Source organism: Homo sapiens, chromosome 15, assembly GCF_000001405.40.
Source record: "Homo sapiens chromosome 15, GRCh38.p14 Primary Assembly".
Classification (NCBI taxonomy): Eukaryota; Metazoa; Chordata; class Mammalia; order Primates; family Hominidae; genus Homo; species Homo sapiens.
Window position 1 is genome coordinate 65,637,350 of NC_000015.10, and position 14,531 is coordinate 65,651,880.

At 48.9% G+C, this 14,531-nt stretch overlaps 1 protein-coding gene across 30 annotated transcripts in view, besides 1 other annotated feature; it reads left to right on the plus strand.

Annotated features, from left to right (window-relative positions):
• Positions 1–14,531, plus strand: part of SLC24A1 (solute carrier family 24 member 1) — a 49,653-nt gene that overhangs the window by 26,000 nt on the left and 9,122 nt on the right. For 9 of the 30 annotated variants that reach the window (XR_007064494.1, XM_024450103.2, XM_011522219.2 and 6 more), the window contains 6 exons: positions 779–832; positions 2,246–2,354; positions 7,078–7,164; positions 8,263–8,354; positions 13,033–13,593; positions 14,321–14,410. Coding sequence is in view for 29 of the 30 variants with exons in the window: in XM_024450103.2 (XP_024305871.1) it covers positions 779–832; positions 2,246–2,354; positions 7,078–7,164; positions 8,263–8,354; positions 13,033–13,593; positions 14,321–14,410 (993 nt within the window). In the remaining variant the exon portion in view is untranslated. Of the gene's footprint in view, positions 1–778; positions 833–2,245; positions 2,355–5,529; positions 5,658–7,077; positions 7,165–8,262; positions 8,355–13,032; positions 13,594–14,320; positions 14,411–14,531 lie in introns of those variants that run through there. The other 21 variants (NM_001301033.2, XM_047433325.1, XM_047433326.1 and 18 more) reach the window with 9 other exon arrangements.
• Positions 13,551–13,736: a silencer, noted in NCBI's record as "fragment chr15:65943238-65943423 (GRCh37/hg19 assembly coordinates)". NCBI's record gives its function as "represses an EF-1alpha promoter that drives an FKBP-Casp9 reporter gene in an ReSE screen in HepG2 liver carcinoma cells {active_cell/tissue: HepG2}" and the evidence as "EXISTENCE:reporter gene assay evidence [ECO:0000049][PMID:32094911]".

Here is a 14,531-nt window from a genome sequence, read left to right on the forward strand (position 1 = left end):
ATGAGCTGAAGGGAGGGTGGGAGGGGGCATGGAAGGGGCATTTGGGAAAGCTTCATACAAGAATTCACCCTGAATTTTATAAAAAATGGATAAGATTTGAGTAGGCAGAAAGGAATGGAGATGGCATTTTAGGCAGGAGAAAAAGGCATGAACAAGGGAACAAGACTTAGAATAGATTAAGTGTATTTAGAGGACAGTTGATTTTCATTTATTCATTCATTTAATAAATATTGAGCTCTTGCTAAGTGCTGGGCAGTGTTCTCATGCTGGCCACACAGTGGTGAATAAAACAGTCTACCTTCAAGATGCTAGTGGGGCAGTCAACTTATTTCCACAAATAAATTGGGGAAAGTGCAGTGAAGGAAAAGAACAGGGGTCTATAAAAGAATTATACATGGCTTCCCAGAGGAAGGTGACACTTAAGTGGAGACCAGAAGCCTGAGGAGGGAAAGAGCATTACGGACAGGGGGCGAGGGGCCCTGTGATGAGGGTTTTGAGGTGGGTGAAGAGGATGGCACATTTCAGAAACCCAAAGACAGTTGGTGCCACTGGACTATGGTGAGTGGACAGATTCGACTGGGGGTACTGCATTGCAGGCTGAAGCCAGATTATAGAAGGTCAGACTGGAGGGATGGAACATGTTGAAACATTTTCTGAGACCAGGTTATCTCGGAGTGTGTTTCTGTATTTCAACCTGAGGACTTCCGTGGAGAAAGGGATGTAGGGAGAAAGTGAGGGTCTCGCCACAACATCTCGTGACTCCTCTCCCTGTTTGCAGCCGGGCGATGGGGCCATTGCGGTGGATGAGCTACAGGATAACAAGAAGCTGAAGGTGGGTGCCGTATGGAGTCTGCCCAGTGGGGACACTGCAGGGTCTCAGTGGATGATCACAGGCCCAGGGTATTGTGGCCCTGTGCTGGGGACCCTGGCTGTGCTCAGGCCTAGGAAACTCCTGGGAGCGCTGCCAGGGTGAGGCAAGGGAGGAGAGGGCTCTTTTTCTGAGAACTCTCACCTCTAGATGGCCTTTGAGGAGGTGCTAGTTTGGGAGCTAAGTCTGGAATGTTACAGTCCTCTCTGCCATTAGCTTGCTGTGTGACCTTGAGCTTCAGATTCTGCATCTGTAAAATGACTGTTTGAACTAGATGAATTCAAGTCCTAATGTACAGCCCAACATTGTATGATTGATATAAAAGCCAGATTACCTATGGCTTTGGAATGCCCCAGAACTAAGAGAAAGATAGCAGGGGAACTGGAGAGGACAGGAGTCTGAGGTTTCTGAAAAACTGTGTCTTAGCTGTTTATAGTCTATGAAGTATCTGGAAAGAATTATGGGGAACTTTGAAAGGAGTTCCGAACTTGAACCTAAAGAACCTCCCCCATCCAAAGAAAATCTCTGACTTGTGGTGAAGTAGTGTCACCACAACCACTAGATGGCAGAAGAGTTCAGATCAGAGGGATGAGGGGGAAGAAAGGAGGGAGGAAGAAGAGAAGGGAGGGAGGACTCCGCAAGTGTGGAAGCGTTGTCTTTGGATGTTCCATTGTAAATCAGATGATATTTCTATATGTGTCACTATGAATAAGTGTCACATCTGTGTCTGTACAGTATAGATGTGTGTGTATGTGTGTACCTGTGAGGGTCTCTGAGCACATGGGCAGAAAAAAAACCAAAACAAAACTGAAAACTGGGAATCAGAAGACCACAGAAGACCTGGGTACCAGTCTGACTCTTTCATTTACTTCCTGCATGACCTTGGCTTAGGCACCTAGCTTCTTTGAGTTTTCCTTTCCCTTTCCATAGATGGGGATCATAGCTTTGCTTGTCTCTGGGAGTGGGGCAATGATAAAACGTGATAATGCTCTTTGTGGACTGTAAAGGGCTGTAGCCATGTGCAGTGGGTCTGTCTGTGTGGTGTGTGGGTGAGGGAGTGTTTCTGAGGGTGTACTTGCAGGGATGTGCAAACCCTTCATAACGTGATATTCCTAATACACCAGGTTGCTCCCTGTGGAGACGTTGGGAAATTATTCAGTACCTAAAACAAAATAGTCCTGGAAGAGCTGAGGGGAGGCTGAGAAAGAAAGTAGTGTAACTCTTCTGGTTGGAGGTGGAGGAAGAGGGGAGGTCAGGATAAGGCATCTGTGCTTTCTCCCTGATCTTTATGGGAAAGAGGCAAGGTTAGTGATGCCCTCGTGTGGTTCCTCCCCTGGCTTGGACAGGGGCCCACTGTGCGGCTCTCCTCTTGCTCAGCTCCCGTCCTTGCTGACCCGAGGGAGCAGCTCGACCTCTCTGCACAACAGCACCATCCGCAGCACCATCTACCAGCTCATGCTCCACAGCCTGGACCCCCTGAGGGAAGGTAAGCAAGGCCTCTCCAGACCTTTGTGGTTTGCCCCATCCACTCCTTCCCTCCTGCAGCTGGAGAAGAACTGGGACCTGAAAATCCTAGAGGCAGTGAGGAGGGAGTGGGAAGAGATAATAAGCAGAGGAAAGTAGTAAAAGTCAGACAGTCTGGGAAAGAGGGTAGAGACCAAGACAGGGGACTCACCAAGAGAGGGCAACAAAGAACATGGAGGCTAAGGTCCTTGGGTATCCACATCCCACTTCCCTGCCTCTGTCCCTCCCTGTAAAATGAAGGCATTAACCTGCAGTTAGGCTGTGAGTACCATGTGCTCTGCACAGATTTGGGATGGGGCTGCCCTGCAAAGCCCACTGCCCAGGAGTCAGCCCCAGTGTTCCATGGAGAGTGTCTAGCCAAGCAGCTCAGCCCAGGCTGACTGGCCTGGGCTGCTTCTGGGGACGCCTCTTGTAGGGTCCCAAAGCCCAGAAGTTCTTAGTGGCACTTCCTTTTGCTTTATATTCAACTCTGGAGTCCTAGGAAACCTGCCAACTCCTCCCCAAGTCTGGAATCCCAAAGGACACCCTGGAAACTGCCAGGACCCTTTTAAGGGTGACGAGGGTAAGAGCAGGGTCCAAAGTATAGTGGGGGCTGTTGTCCAATTTGACAAATGGTGGCAGCGGCTGAGATTCTCACTGTCCACCTTACCACATCCTGCCTTCTGCTTCTCTTCCCCAGAGAGCTGCCCCCAACATGCATCTCAGACCCCTAAAGGGCACTTCTCAGCTACTCTCCTGCTCTCCTGGAGCCTCCCCATCTCTGGGGCTCTGGTGCAGAACCGGAACCCAGCCAGGAGGCCCATCAAGGAAATGCTAGCCTTTGTGCAAAAGCCAAGGGCTTGGACTGCAGTTGGGCAGGAGGGCTGAGGGCTGAGCTGAATATGACACCACAGAATGATCCATTGAGTCCCAGGGAGCACTCTGACTGACCTTTCTGGCTCAAGGACAAATTTTCGGGGCTCAGAATTTTCTTTAGGCTCTGAAGTCCTTTTCAGAGACAATATTGGGTTGTCAGTTGTTTTAAAAAAAAATACCAGCCAGGCATGGTGGCTCACGCCTGTAATCCTAGCATCTTGGGAGGCCGAGGCAGGTGGATTGCCTGAGCTCAGGAGTCCAAGACCAGCCTGGGCAACACGGTGAAACCCCATCTCTACTAAAATACAAAAAAAATTAGCCAGGCGTGGTGGCAGGCGCCTGTAATCCCAGCTACTTGGGAGGCTGAGACGGGAGAGTCACTTGAACCCGGGAGGTGGAGGTTGTAGTGAGCCGAGATTGCACCGCTGCACTCCAGCCTAGGCTGCAGAGTGAGACTCCACCTCAAATAAATAAATAAATAAATAATTTTTAAAAAGGCTGGACACAGTGGCTCACGCCTGTAATCCCAGTACTTTGGGAGGCCAAGGTGGGCGGATCACGAGGTCAAGAAATCGAGAGCATCCTGGGCAACATGGTGAAACCCTGTCTCTACTAAAAACACAAAAATTGGCACACACCTGTAGTCCCAGCTACTTGGGAGGCTGAGGCAGGAGAATCGCTTGAACCTGGGAGGCAGAGATTGCAGTAAGCCAAGATCGTGCCACTGCACTCCAGCCTGGTGACAGAGCGAGACCATCTCTAAATAAACAAACAAACAAACAAACAAATAAATAAATAAACCATACTGTGAAAAGCTGCATCAAAGACAAGTGATGAAACCTTCCTTAGGAATTCCTCAAGGTAAGAACAGAGAGAGAGAGAAAGGGAGAAAAAAATTAATCTAAGCTGCTGATGGAGCTGTTAGGAAAAAAAGAGAGAGAAAAGAAAAAATAAAAAGCAATTCCTCAAGGTAAACCTCAGCAGACATGTGAGAGAGGCCATCCCCAAATGTCAGCTCTAGAAAAATAGTACCTCTGGGGTTTGCAGAATGGAAGCTGCAGCCCCTGACAGCCTCTGGTGATGAGTGCCGGGGTGCTCTGGCCAGGGCCCCATGAGGAAAGCTGTATCTCTGGGTCATCAGTGGCTACTCCCAGAGGAATCACTGACTCTAGCAAAGTCCTGATGATAAAGACCTCTTGGGTGGGACTGGAGGGCCCCCAGCTGGGCATCTCCATGACCAACAGCCTCCAGCTGGCCTACTTGTCCTAACAGGATTATGTGATGTTCAGGCCAGGCTGAGGTCAGAGGAGATTGATGCTAAAGCCATGATCCGGCCCTGCTGAGAGGGGAGAGGCATGTGAGGAAACGAGTGCCCAGGAGCCAGCAGCAATCATCCCAGGGAGGACAAGCATGCTGGTACATTGTCTCTGGGTGTCTTTGGGGCATGGAATGGCTCTCGTGACTGCAGATGTCCTCTGGGATTCAGTCGTGCTCAAGAGCCCAGCCTGATTCTACACCCTGAGATGACATATGGGAGGGGTGGGGACCATGCAGGGCTGTGATGAGGGCCTTTGTTCCCCAGGCTCTCTAGATGCACATTTGTGTTTTTGTATGCTGTTTCCAGATGGCCGTCCAGATGTTTCCACTCTTTACAGGTGTTCCAGCTCTTTCCACAGAGCTGATCCGTGGAAAAGATGTTTCCTGGGGTCTGAACTCTCACCTTCCCTGTGAAGGGGCTTATCCTCTCCAGGGTCCCATGGCTTTTCTGGTGATTTCACTTGGATGTGTGTGAGACAGGGTGGGGGAGACCCTGCAGCTGACCTGTTTTCCTCAGTAACATGGGAAGTGAGAGTCTAGGCTGTGATGAGGATGAGAAGGAAAGGGGGAAGCTTGTGTTTATGGCTAGCCCTTCCAGCAACAGCCAGCAGATAATCTCAGTGCCAAGACCAGAACCAAGGGAGCCCTCCTGTGACAGCAGCTACACATTGCTCAACAGAAGACTTCAGGGTTTGATTAGTGCCAAGGGGGCACTGGGTTTGTCTGGACGAAGGTGTGTTGGCCCCCCACCTCTCAGTTCTGATGAGGACCCAGGCCCACCAGGCCACTTCGAGGGACCACACATGTCATAGTGGCTCTACCCATGGAGCTTATTGCCAGAGCCAGCTGCAGCTGAACTAACTGAGAGTTTAGGAGACAGGTAGAGAGGAGGAAATTCCAGACCCATTTATCTGTTTCCTGCTTGTCCTGGAGCCAGGCAGAGCCTTTGATCCACCCAGCTTCCCAGATTGCACTTTCCAGCTTCTCCGTTTCCTCTCAGTCCGTCTGTATTATGGACTAGATGATCTCCAGGGTTCCTTCTAACTCGGACCCTCTGGGATGCCGGGCATCATCACTGTGGGGTGCTTCCCAGGTAGGACAGCTGCTCTCAACTACTCTTGTCAATTTGTTTTCATCATTGTTGTTGTTGTTGTTACAGCTAAAAGTTATAGAGTGCTTTCTAGGTGCCAGACACTGTTTTGACCATATTCATGTATAAATTCATTTACTTTGTCACCAACTCTGGAAGATTTTACAGATGAAGAATCTGAAGTACAGAGAGCTTAAGGAATCACCCAGTTAGGTCCACAGCTATAGCGCAAGTGGCAGAACTAGGATTCAAACCCAGGTCATCAGGCTTCAGAATTGTGCTAAAGGAACAATATGAGTGAGGCCAGCATTTGCAGCAGTAAAAGTGTTTTTATTTATTTTGTCTCATGGATCCTCATCACATCAGTCCCCTGAGGATATGACGGTATTGCCTTTTTAGAGAGGATGCTGAGGCTTAGTGCCGGCACACAGGCTTCCCAAAGTCACCCGGTGCTCATGGGGCAGAGCCAGCCTAAATTCAGAATAGAGCCCGTAGATCCCATGACACCACTTTGTTCTTCACTTGCACCACTGCCTTCGCCCTCCCAGGCCACACAGCTGTGGACTCCTTCACCTCAGCCTTGTTCCTTCTTCCCTTCTCACCTTGAAATTATACACGTAAAGTGCTTTGCATGTTTCCTGGCACGTAGTCCCAGTTAAAGAGAGTTGCCTGTCCCGTGTTTCTCACCTGGAAATCAGGGCAGCACAATTCTGTGCATGCTGCCCTGTGGGCCTCCAGCAAAGCATGTGCATAGGGATCTGAAGGAGGCCCTTCTCGGGCTCTTGTTGTGCCTGGGGTCAAAAAGGGTGTATCCGAGAGCTTGTTGGTGAACCATTTCCCCTTTTCCACTGGAGAGGGAAGGCTTATGAACATGGCCATCAGCCGTCCCCCTGGAGCTATAACAAAGCCTCTAGTAGATTCATAGAAAGTAAGCTACAAAGATAATATAGTCCAAGGATGGCAAAAACATCTCCCTGCAATTATTTCTCCATTCCATGTCTATCACAGACATTACCAATCAATCATGGTACTTTTCTACAAAGTTTGGGTCAGAGTCCTTCTCAATTCAGTACCCAAGCAGGCCATCACTTGAGCTTGTAAAGGAAATAAATCCTATTTCTTGGTCCTGAGTCCAACCATGTCATTTTACCAGAGAGGAAATAGGCCTTGAGAAGGGAAATGACTTACCCTAAGGTCACAGCCAGTCAGTGACAATGCAGAGAATGTAAGACAGAACTTTGGGAATTAGGCACCACAACTAGGCCTCGTAGGATCAGAATCCAGATGTCACAACCCCCATGGCAGCCTTTTCCCACACTCTGCAGCTGCCCTCTGGCTGCTCAGCTGACTGTCCTAACTGAAAGGGCGTGGCAGGGATGATCCTACAATTCCAGGTAAGATGTATGTCCTGTCTCATTTGCAGTTCGCCTTGCCAAGGAGAAGGAGGAGGAGAGCTTGAATCAAGGGGCCAGAGCCCAACCCCAGGCCAAAGCAGAAAGCAAACCAGAAGGTGAGAGGATGGCCAGACCAGTGGGTTTTCTCCTGCCCCCCTCTCCCTGCTGTCAGTAGTGAGCTTGGCCTGGAGGCAGCAGCCAGCCAGGCCAGGGGCTGAGGCACATCTTTGGCCTCTGTGAGCCAGTCAGTTAGAGTGATGGTAGGGTGTTGCCCTGATCGCCGCTCCACTCCAGACTCTTCCTTCCCAGGTGCTGTCTTTCTGACATGGCCGCTGGTCTGAGAGTGGCCCCATACAGCTTCCTCTCCGTTTTCCACAGCTGGGGTAGGCGAGGGAAGGCTAGGGGTTGTTGAACTCCCACTTCTTTTTGCTAAATCTCATCCCAAATGAGACTGTGGGACTTTATTTCTTCTTCCTGTCTCTTCTGTACAAGGACAGTGTTGCTAGTTATTGGTCTGAAATCAGCAACCCCAGTGAGGGAAGGCTACCAGGGGTCTGGTGTCACAGAAGTCTAGTATCTGTGTGGCAGCTAGGACTGAGAAAGTGGGACAGCCACTGCCATGTGGGCTCTGCACAGCACACCAGGACTGCCTGATCCACCCAGCAACCCCTGGATGGAGGTGGAACAGCAGTCATTCTTCCCATCCTATAGACAAGAGTCTCAGAGAGGTCAAGTGACTTCCCAAAGCCACACAGCCAAGAAGTGAGAGAACCTGTACCTAAACCTAGCTCTCCAGACTTTCCAAGTTTCCCTTCCCGTCAGTCCTGTTCCAAGGCTTCAAAAGCTGCTGCCTTTGGAATCAGCAGGATCCTTCCCAAAGGGTCATTCTCTGAGTGCTGGGAGCTTTGCCCTCTCTCTGTTCTGACTGCCCAGCTGTTGACAGTGTCTTTGGCCACAATGGCCAGGATGGATATGTCTGTGAATTATAGGGGAGCACGGATGGTCACTTGCCAACTGTCTTCTCATCTGCAGATAGGTCAGGGCAATAACAATTCACATCATCTTACTTTTCCTACCAACAAGAAATTCCCCCAAATAAACCTTCAGAAACCCTGAAGTCCAATAGCCCTGTAGCCACTTATGCCAGTGTCTCTGCCAGCTTCCTTCAGAACCTTGTCCACTCTTCTGATGTAACCCATGTTTATCCTTTAAAGAGGAGGAGCCAGCCAAGCTCCCTGCGGTCACGGTCACACCAGCCCCTGTTCCAGACATCAAGGGAGATCAGAAGGAGAATCCAGGCGGTCAGGTAGGCACCCAGCCTTGGCACAGACAAAATTGGAGAGGTCTAGGGAAGGAACTCTTGACCAAAAATACATCCTCCCTGAAGGTCTGAAATCCTATTTGAGGTTCATTCCTCTGGGGGTAAATATTACCCTTTCTCTGAAGATCACTTGAAAAATACAAGTATCTCATGGGGCCAATTAACTCACTGGAACATCTTACATGAGTGAGCTAACATATTGACAATGTATTGTGAACTGTCACATGCTATAAGAACATAAGGAATAATTGTTAGTGGGTCTGTCAGCAACTAGGTGACAGTGAGACCAGGTAGCTCCTGAGCACTGGGAAGCTTGAAATGCAGGTGGGAGGGATGCTGGGTGAAGGCTTTCCAACCTTCTGAGGCTCCTCATTGCCTACTGCACCTGGTCAGGCATCTCAGCCTTGTCTGCAGAGCTTTCCAAGTCCTGATACTGCCCCGTCTTTACAGCCTCATGGTCTCTTCTTCTACCATGCTCCAGCCAAACTGGATTTCTTGTCTCCATGTTTTTCTTTTTTTTATTTTTATTTTTGTATTTTTAGTAGAGACGGGGTTTCAACATGTTGGCCAGGATGGTCTTGATCTCCTGACCTTGTGATCCACCCACCTTGGCCTCCCAAAGTGCTGGGATTATAGGCATGAGCCACCACGCCCGGCCGTCTCCATGTTTTTCTACCTCCCAGCCTTGGCTCACATGGTTTTCTCTCCCTAGAATGCCTTTTCTCCTCCATTTTCATATATCCTCATCTTACCATGCACCCCACCCCCCTCCCCAGCCCCTGGCCAGTATAAACACCTTTGTCATGTAGCTGCCTTGAACCACTCCAAATCTGAATGCCCCTGGTGCTCTGCACCTATCCCAGGGCTTTTACCAACTGTCTTCCTTGGATTCTGAGCCTGCTAGGTGGTGAGGTTCCTGAAGGCAAGATCGAAGTCTGAGTCATCCCTGTCTCCCCTACAGAGGGAAGCAGAATGCCTGGTGCACAGCTGGCTCAATATATGTTGAGTGACTGACAGTAAAAAACATTCCATTTGCAAGTTCCATCTCTTTTTTTCTCTCCATTCAATACCCAGAAAACGCTTGATTATATCTCATCCTTAAGCCAGCAACTTTGGGTTCAGCGTCTAAGACAGCTTCATGGTAACATGAGTAGGTCTATTACCGCTAGCTCAAGTAAAAAGGATTAAGAGGATACAGAGGTATTCCCTGGAATCCCAGGGCAGGAAGTGAAGCTTGATCTCATGAAGAGCTGGGCCTAGGCCTGAGAAGGCATCTGTGACCCTGGTGGCTTCTCATTCCATGTCCTGCTCTCCCTCACATTCCTTCTCTGAGTACAGGCTCTATCATGGGCCTCTCTTGGCAGGCTGGCTTCATTTGTTCCCTTATGAGCACACATATAACCCCAAGCTACAATCCCAATCCTGCATCCACAGGAGAATCAGTGACTGGTTTCCAGTCTTAAAAGAGAGAGAATCGGGCCGGGTGTTGTGGCTCACACCTGTAATCCCTGCACTTTGGGAGGCCGAGGCAGGAGGATCACTTGAGGTCAGGAGTTTGAGACCAGCCTGGCCAACATGGTGAAACCCCATCTCTACTAAAAATACAAAAATTAGCCGGGTGTGGTGGTGCGTGCCTGTAATCCCAGCTACTTGGGAGGCTGAGGCAGGAGAATCACTTGAACTGTGGAGGCGGAGACTGCAGTGAGCAGAAGTCGCACCACTACACTCCAGCCTGGGTGACAGAGAGAGACTGTCTCAAAAAAAAAAAAAAAAAAAAAAAAGAGAGAGACAGAGAGAGAAAGAATCGGTTCAACCCAGCTCCTTGGTCAAGAATCCAGCTTGCATCCAACTGGTTGTGGCTGGCTGACTTGACTCCAACACAGGAAGTGGAAGCTACTTGCTCAGCTGGGGCTATTAGGAGTGACAGTCTTCAGAGTAGAGGGTGCAGAACAGACAGACGCTCCCATATTTATGGGTTTAAATGACTTGTCATCTCCTCTGGGAAGCATTCTCTACCTGATGGGGGTAGACAGGAGAGGGCAGGAATGATTTCAGACGAAAATCTTCTCAATCCTCATTCTCAGTTCAAACTGCAGGCCTCATCAGTAGTATTTGTTGTCTTCATTGGGGGTTCTCAACCCTGGTTGCATATTAGAATAATTTGGGGAAGTAAAAAAAATGACCAGGCCCCACCCTCAACCAATGAAGTCAGAATATCTGGGGTGGGTCCTTGGGCATCAATGGTTTAAAAAGCCTTCAGGGCCGGGTGCGGTGGCTCACGCCTGTAATCCCAGCACTTTGGGAGGCCGAGGCGGGCGGATCACGAGCTCAGGAGATCGAGACCATCCTGGCTAACACGGTGAAACCCCGTCTCTACTAAAACTACAAAAAATTAGCCAGGTGTGGTGGCACATGCCTGTAATCCCAGCTACTCGGGATGCTGAGGTGAGAGAATGGCGTGAACCCGGGAGGCGGAGCTTGCAGTGAGCCCAGATGGTGCCACTGCACTCCAGCCTGGGCGACAGAGCAAGACTCCGCCTCAAAACAAAAAAAAAAGCCTTCAGGTGATTTTAATGTGCAGCACAATTGAGACTCACTCAACATCCTTTGGGGGTTGCCAATATCATGACATTTGTTACAGACAACATATTTACTCCATGAACACACAGCCCAGGGCTCTTGCTCAAGGGATGGACCAGCATATTGCTACAGGTTAGCTGGTTGCCTAATCTGAGGACACTCTGAATCAATGGCTTTTAATTTTATCTCTTTTTTTTTTTTGAGACTGAGTCTTGCTCTGTCGCCTAGGCTGGAGTGCAGTGACACGATCTCAGCTCACTGCAACCTCTGCCTCCCGGGTTCAAGCAATTCTCCAGCCTCAGCCTCCTGATGAGCTGGAATTACAGGCACTTACAGGCATGCACCACCACGCCTGGCTAATTTTTATTTATTTATTTTTTTTAAGTAGATATGGGGTTTCACCACTTTAGTCAGGCTGGTCTCAAACTCCTGACCTCATGATCCGCCCGACTCAGCCTCCCAAAGTGCTGAGATTACAGGTGTGAGCCACCGTGCCCAGCCTATCTCTTAAATTTTTTACAGGGGTATGGGGTCTCACTATATTGCCCAGGCTGGCCTGGAACTCCTGGGCTCTAGCGATCCTACTGCCTCAGCTGCCTGAGTAGTTGAAACATAGGCATCTATGTCTGAGACCACACCCAGCTATCAATGGCTTTTAGGGTGTGTGGAGATAGTCAGTGGTTCCCAAACACTGGTCTAAAGGTGGATGTTTTAGGAACAGCTGTGAGTATGTTAAAATACAGATTCCTGGCTTCCAATTCTAAAGATTCTAATTCAGTTGGTCCAGGTGGGGTCAGAAAATCTGTATTTCTTTTTTCTCTTTGAGACAGAGTCTTGCTCTGTCACCCAGGCTGGAGTGCGTGACACAATCTCAGCTCACTGCAACTTCTACCACCCAGGTTCAAACAATTCTGCCTCAGCCTCCTGAGTAGCTAGGATTACAGGCGCCTGCCACCGCGCCCAGCTAATTTTTGTATTTTTAGTAGAGACAGGGTTTCACCATGTTGGCCAGGCTGGTCTCAAACTCCTGACCTTGTGATCCGCCCACCTCAGCCTCCCAAAGTGCTAGGATTACAGGCATGAGCCACCGTGCCCAGCCTAAAAATCTGAATTTCTAATAAGCTCCTCAGGCTACCAAGTTTGGGAGCCAGACATCTCATTTGGCCCTTTACCTGGTATTGATTGGTAAAGCAGGATAGCTTGGTGGACCACCCATATTCAAATCCCAACTTCATCACTTATAAACCACGTGGACCATGGGCAAGTTACTTAGTTCCTTTTACTCTAGTTTCTCCATCTGTAAGATGGGCATAGTTTTATCCATATCATGAATTAATTGATTCATAAAACACCGTAAGTGCTAGCTATTATTATTAAACTACTTCCCATGGTGCCTGGCACATAAAAACCCTCAATAAATAGGCATTATCATCCTTATTTTGTAGATATAAGGTAATAAAACAATTTAGGAGTTTTAGTAGACTCAGCAATGCATTGTGACCACCAAAGGATGTCATGCCATATTAAGCAACATTAATGGAAACATTGTATCTAAGACAAGGGAGGTGATAGTCCTGTTCCACTCCATGCAATATTCTGTATTCAGTTTTGGATGCCCTCCTCCTGGGATATAAGCTAATTAAAATGAGTTCACCAGGATAGGGAGGAGGCTCTAGGCCATAGCATGTAGAAATGATATAAGGACCTGGGAATCTTTAACCCAGGGAAGAGAGCTGTCTCATGGAAGACTGATGTTTTGTAAGGCATCAAAGAGTAAACCTATACATGGGGGTAGAACTTTGATATAAATATGGACTTCAGATGAATCAGAGGTGCCAAAGATGACAGAAGCTGCTTCAGGTGGTGAGCTTTCCACCCCTGGAAATGATCAAATAAAAGCTGGACAGCCACTAGGTAGGAGTGTGGTCATGGGAATTCTGCTGAATTATCGCACTAGTTTTCTCCTCATACTTAAGTTTTCAGATACCTTCTGAGAAGCACGCCAACAAAAAAATGGGGGAGTAACATAAGGAAAACAAGCAGAGCAGTTACCACACATTAATCTGTTGGTTTTGGATTGCAGGAAGATGTGGCTGAGGCCGAGAGCACAGGTGAAATGCCAGGCGAAGAGGGCGAAACTGCTGGTGAAGGTGAAACTGAAGAGAAAAGTGGAGGTGAAACTCAACCAGAAGGTGAAGGTGAAACTGAAACACAAGGAAAAGGAGAAGAATGTGAAGATGAAAATGAAGCAGAAGGAAAAGGAGACAATGAAGGTGAAGATGAGGGTGAAATCCACGCAGAAGATGGTGAAATGAAAGGTAATGAAGGTGAAACTGAAAGCCAGGAACTCAGTGCTGAAAATCACGGTGAAGCCAAAAATGATGAGAAAGGTGTAGAAGATGGAGGGGGAAGTGATGGAGGGGATAGCGAAGAGGAGGAAGAGGAGGAGGAAGAGCAGGAGGAAGAGGAGGAGGAGGAAGAGCAGGAGGAAGAGGAGGAGGAGGAGGAGGAAGAGGAGGAGAAGGGAAATGAAGAGCCTCTGTCCCTGGACTGGCCTGAAACCAGGCAGAAGCAGGCCATTTACCTCTTCCTTCTGCCCATCGTGTTCCCACTGTGGCTGACAGTCCCCGACGTCCGAAGGCAGGTGAGTGTGCCCATCTGTATCTCAGACTCTTTATCCCCAGCAGGGCTGTGGGGTCTCTCGGCATGCGGGGCTCACACTCAAGAGGAGGAAGAGGCCAGGGACAACCAGCTTATCAGGGCTCCACCATTGAGATCTGGGAAGGGACTGAAGCCTTGGAGGGGGACTATGTGCTTAGGGGACATACCACTGGGACTGGGAGGCCCTAGATCTCATGCGCTTTATTCCCACTGCTATAAGCAGCATACACTAGTCCCTCTTTGACTCCTATCTCAGTTTCTTGATTTTAATTTGAGAATGATACCACTAAACCTCCTGCATATTTCACAGGAGTATTCCCAAAACCCAGGGAAATCACTAGTATTTATACCCAACATTCTTATTTGCAAGGAAAGGTCTGACCAGAAAGGAATGGTACAAGGAGGTTGCAAAAGCCAAACCAGATACCTAGATTGGCCTGGTTCTAGGGCAAGCAAACAGCTTTCTTCCATCTGGTGACTGCTGTCCACCCTACTGGCTGGACTCCCCTACAGGTGTACCCCCAACCTCCATCCTTTTCCATCCATCTCAAGGTCCTCCCTGGAGAGAGAGCTCTCAGGTCAAATGTCTCCATTTTGCCTCCATCACTCTTCCATTAGACCTTGTCACTGATTGTTGGGCTTGCTCAGAAGGGCCAAAGACCTTTTAACCTCTACAGCTTACTTCTTGTCCTTTTCAAACTTTCAAACAGGAGTCTAGGAAGTTTTTTGTTTTCACCTTCCTGGGATCTATCATGTGGATAGCCATGTTCTCATACCTCATGGTGTGGTGGGCTCACCAGGTGAGTGAACAGCAGGAACGAAATCCTCTACCAGCAGGTCCCAACGACACTTTCCTTCAGGATCAATCTCCGGTACTCAGGGAATCTCGAGGATCAAGTGAATTCGTGCAGTTTCTATGTT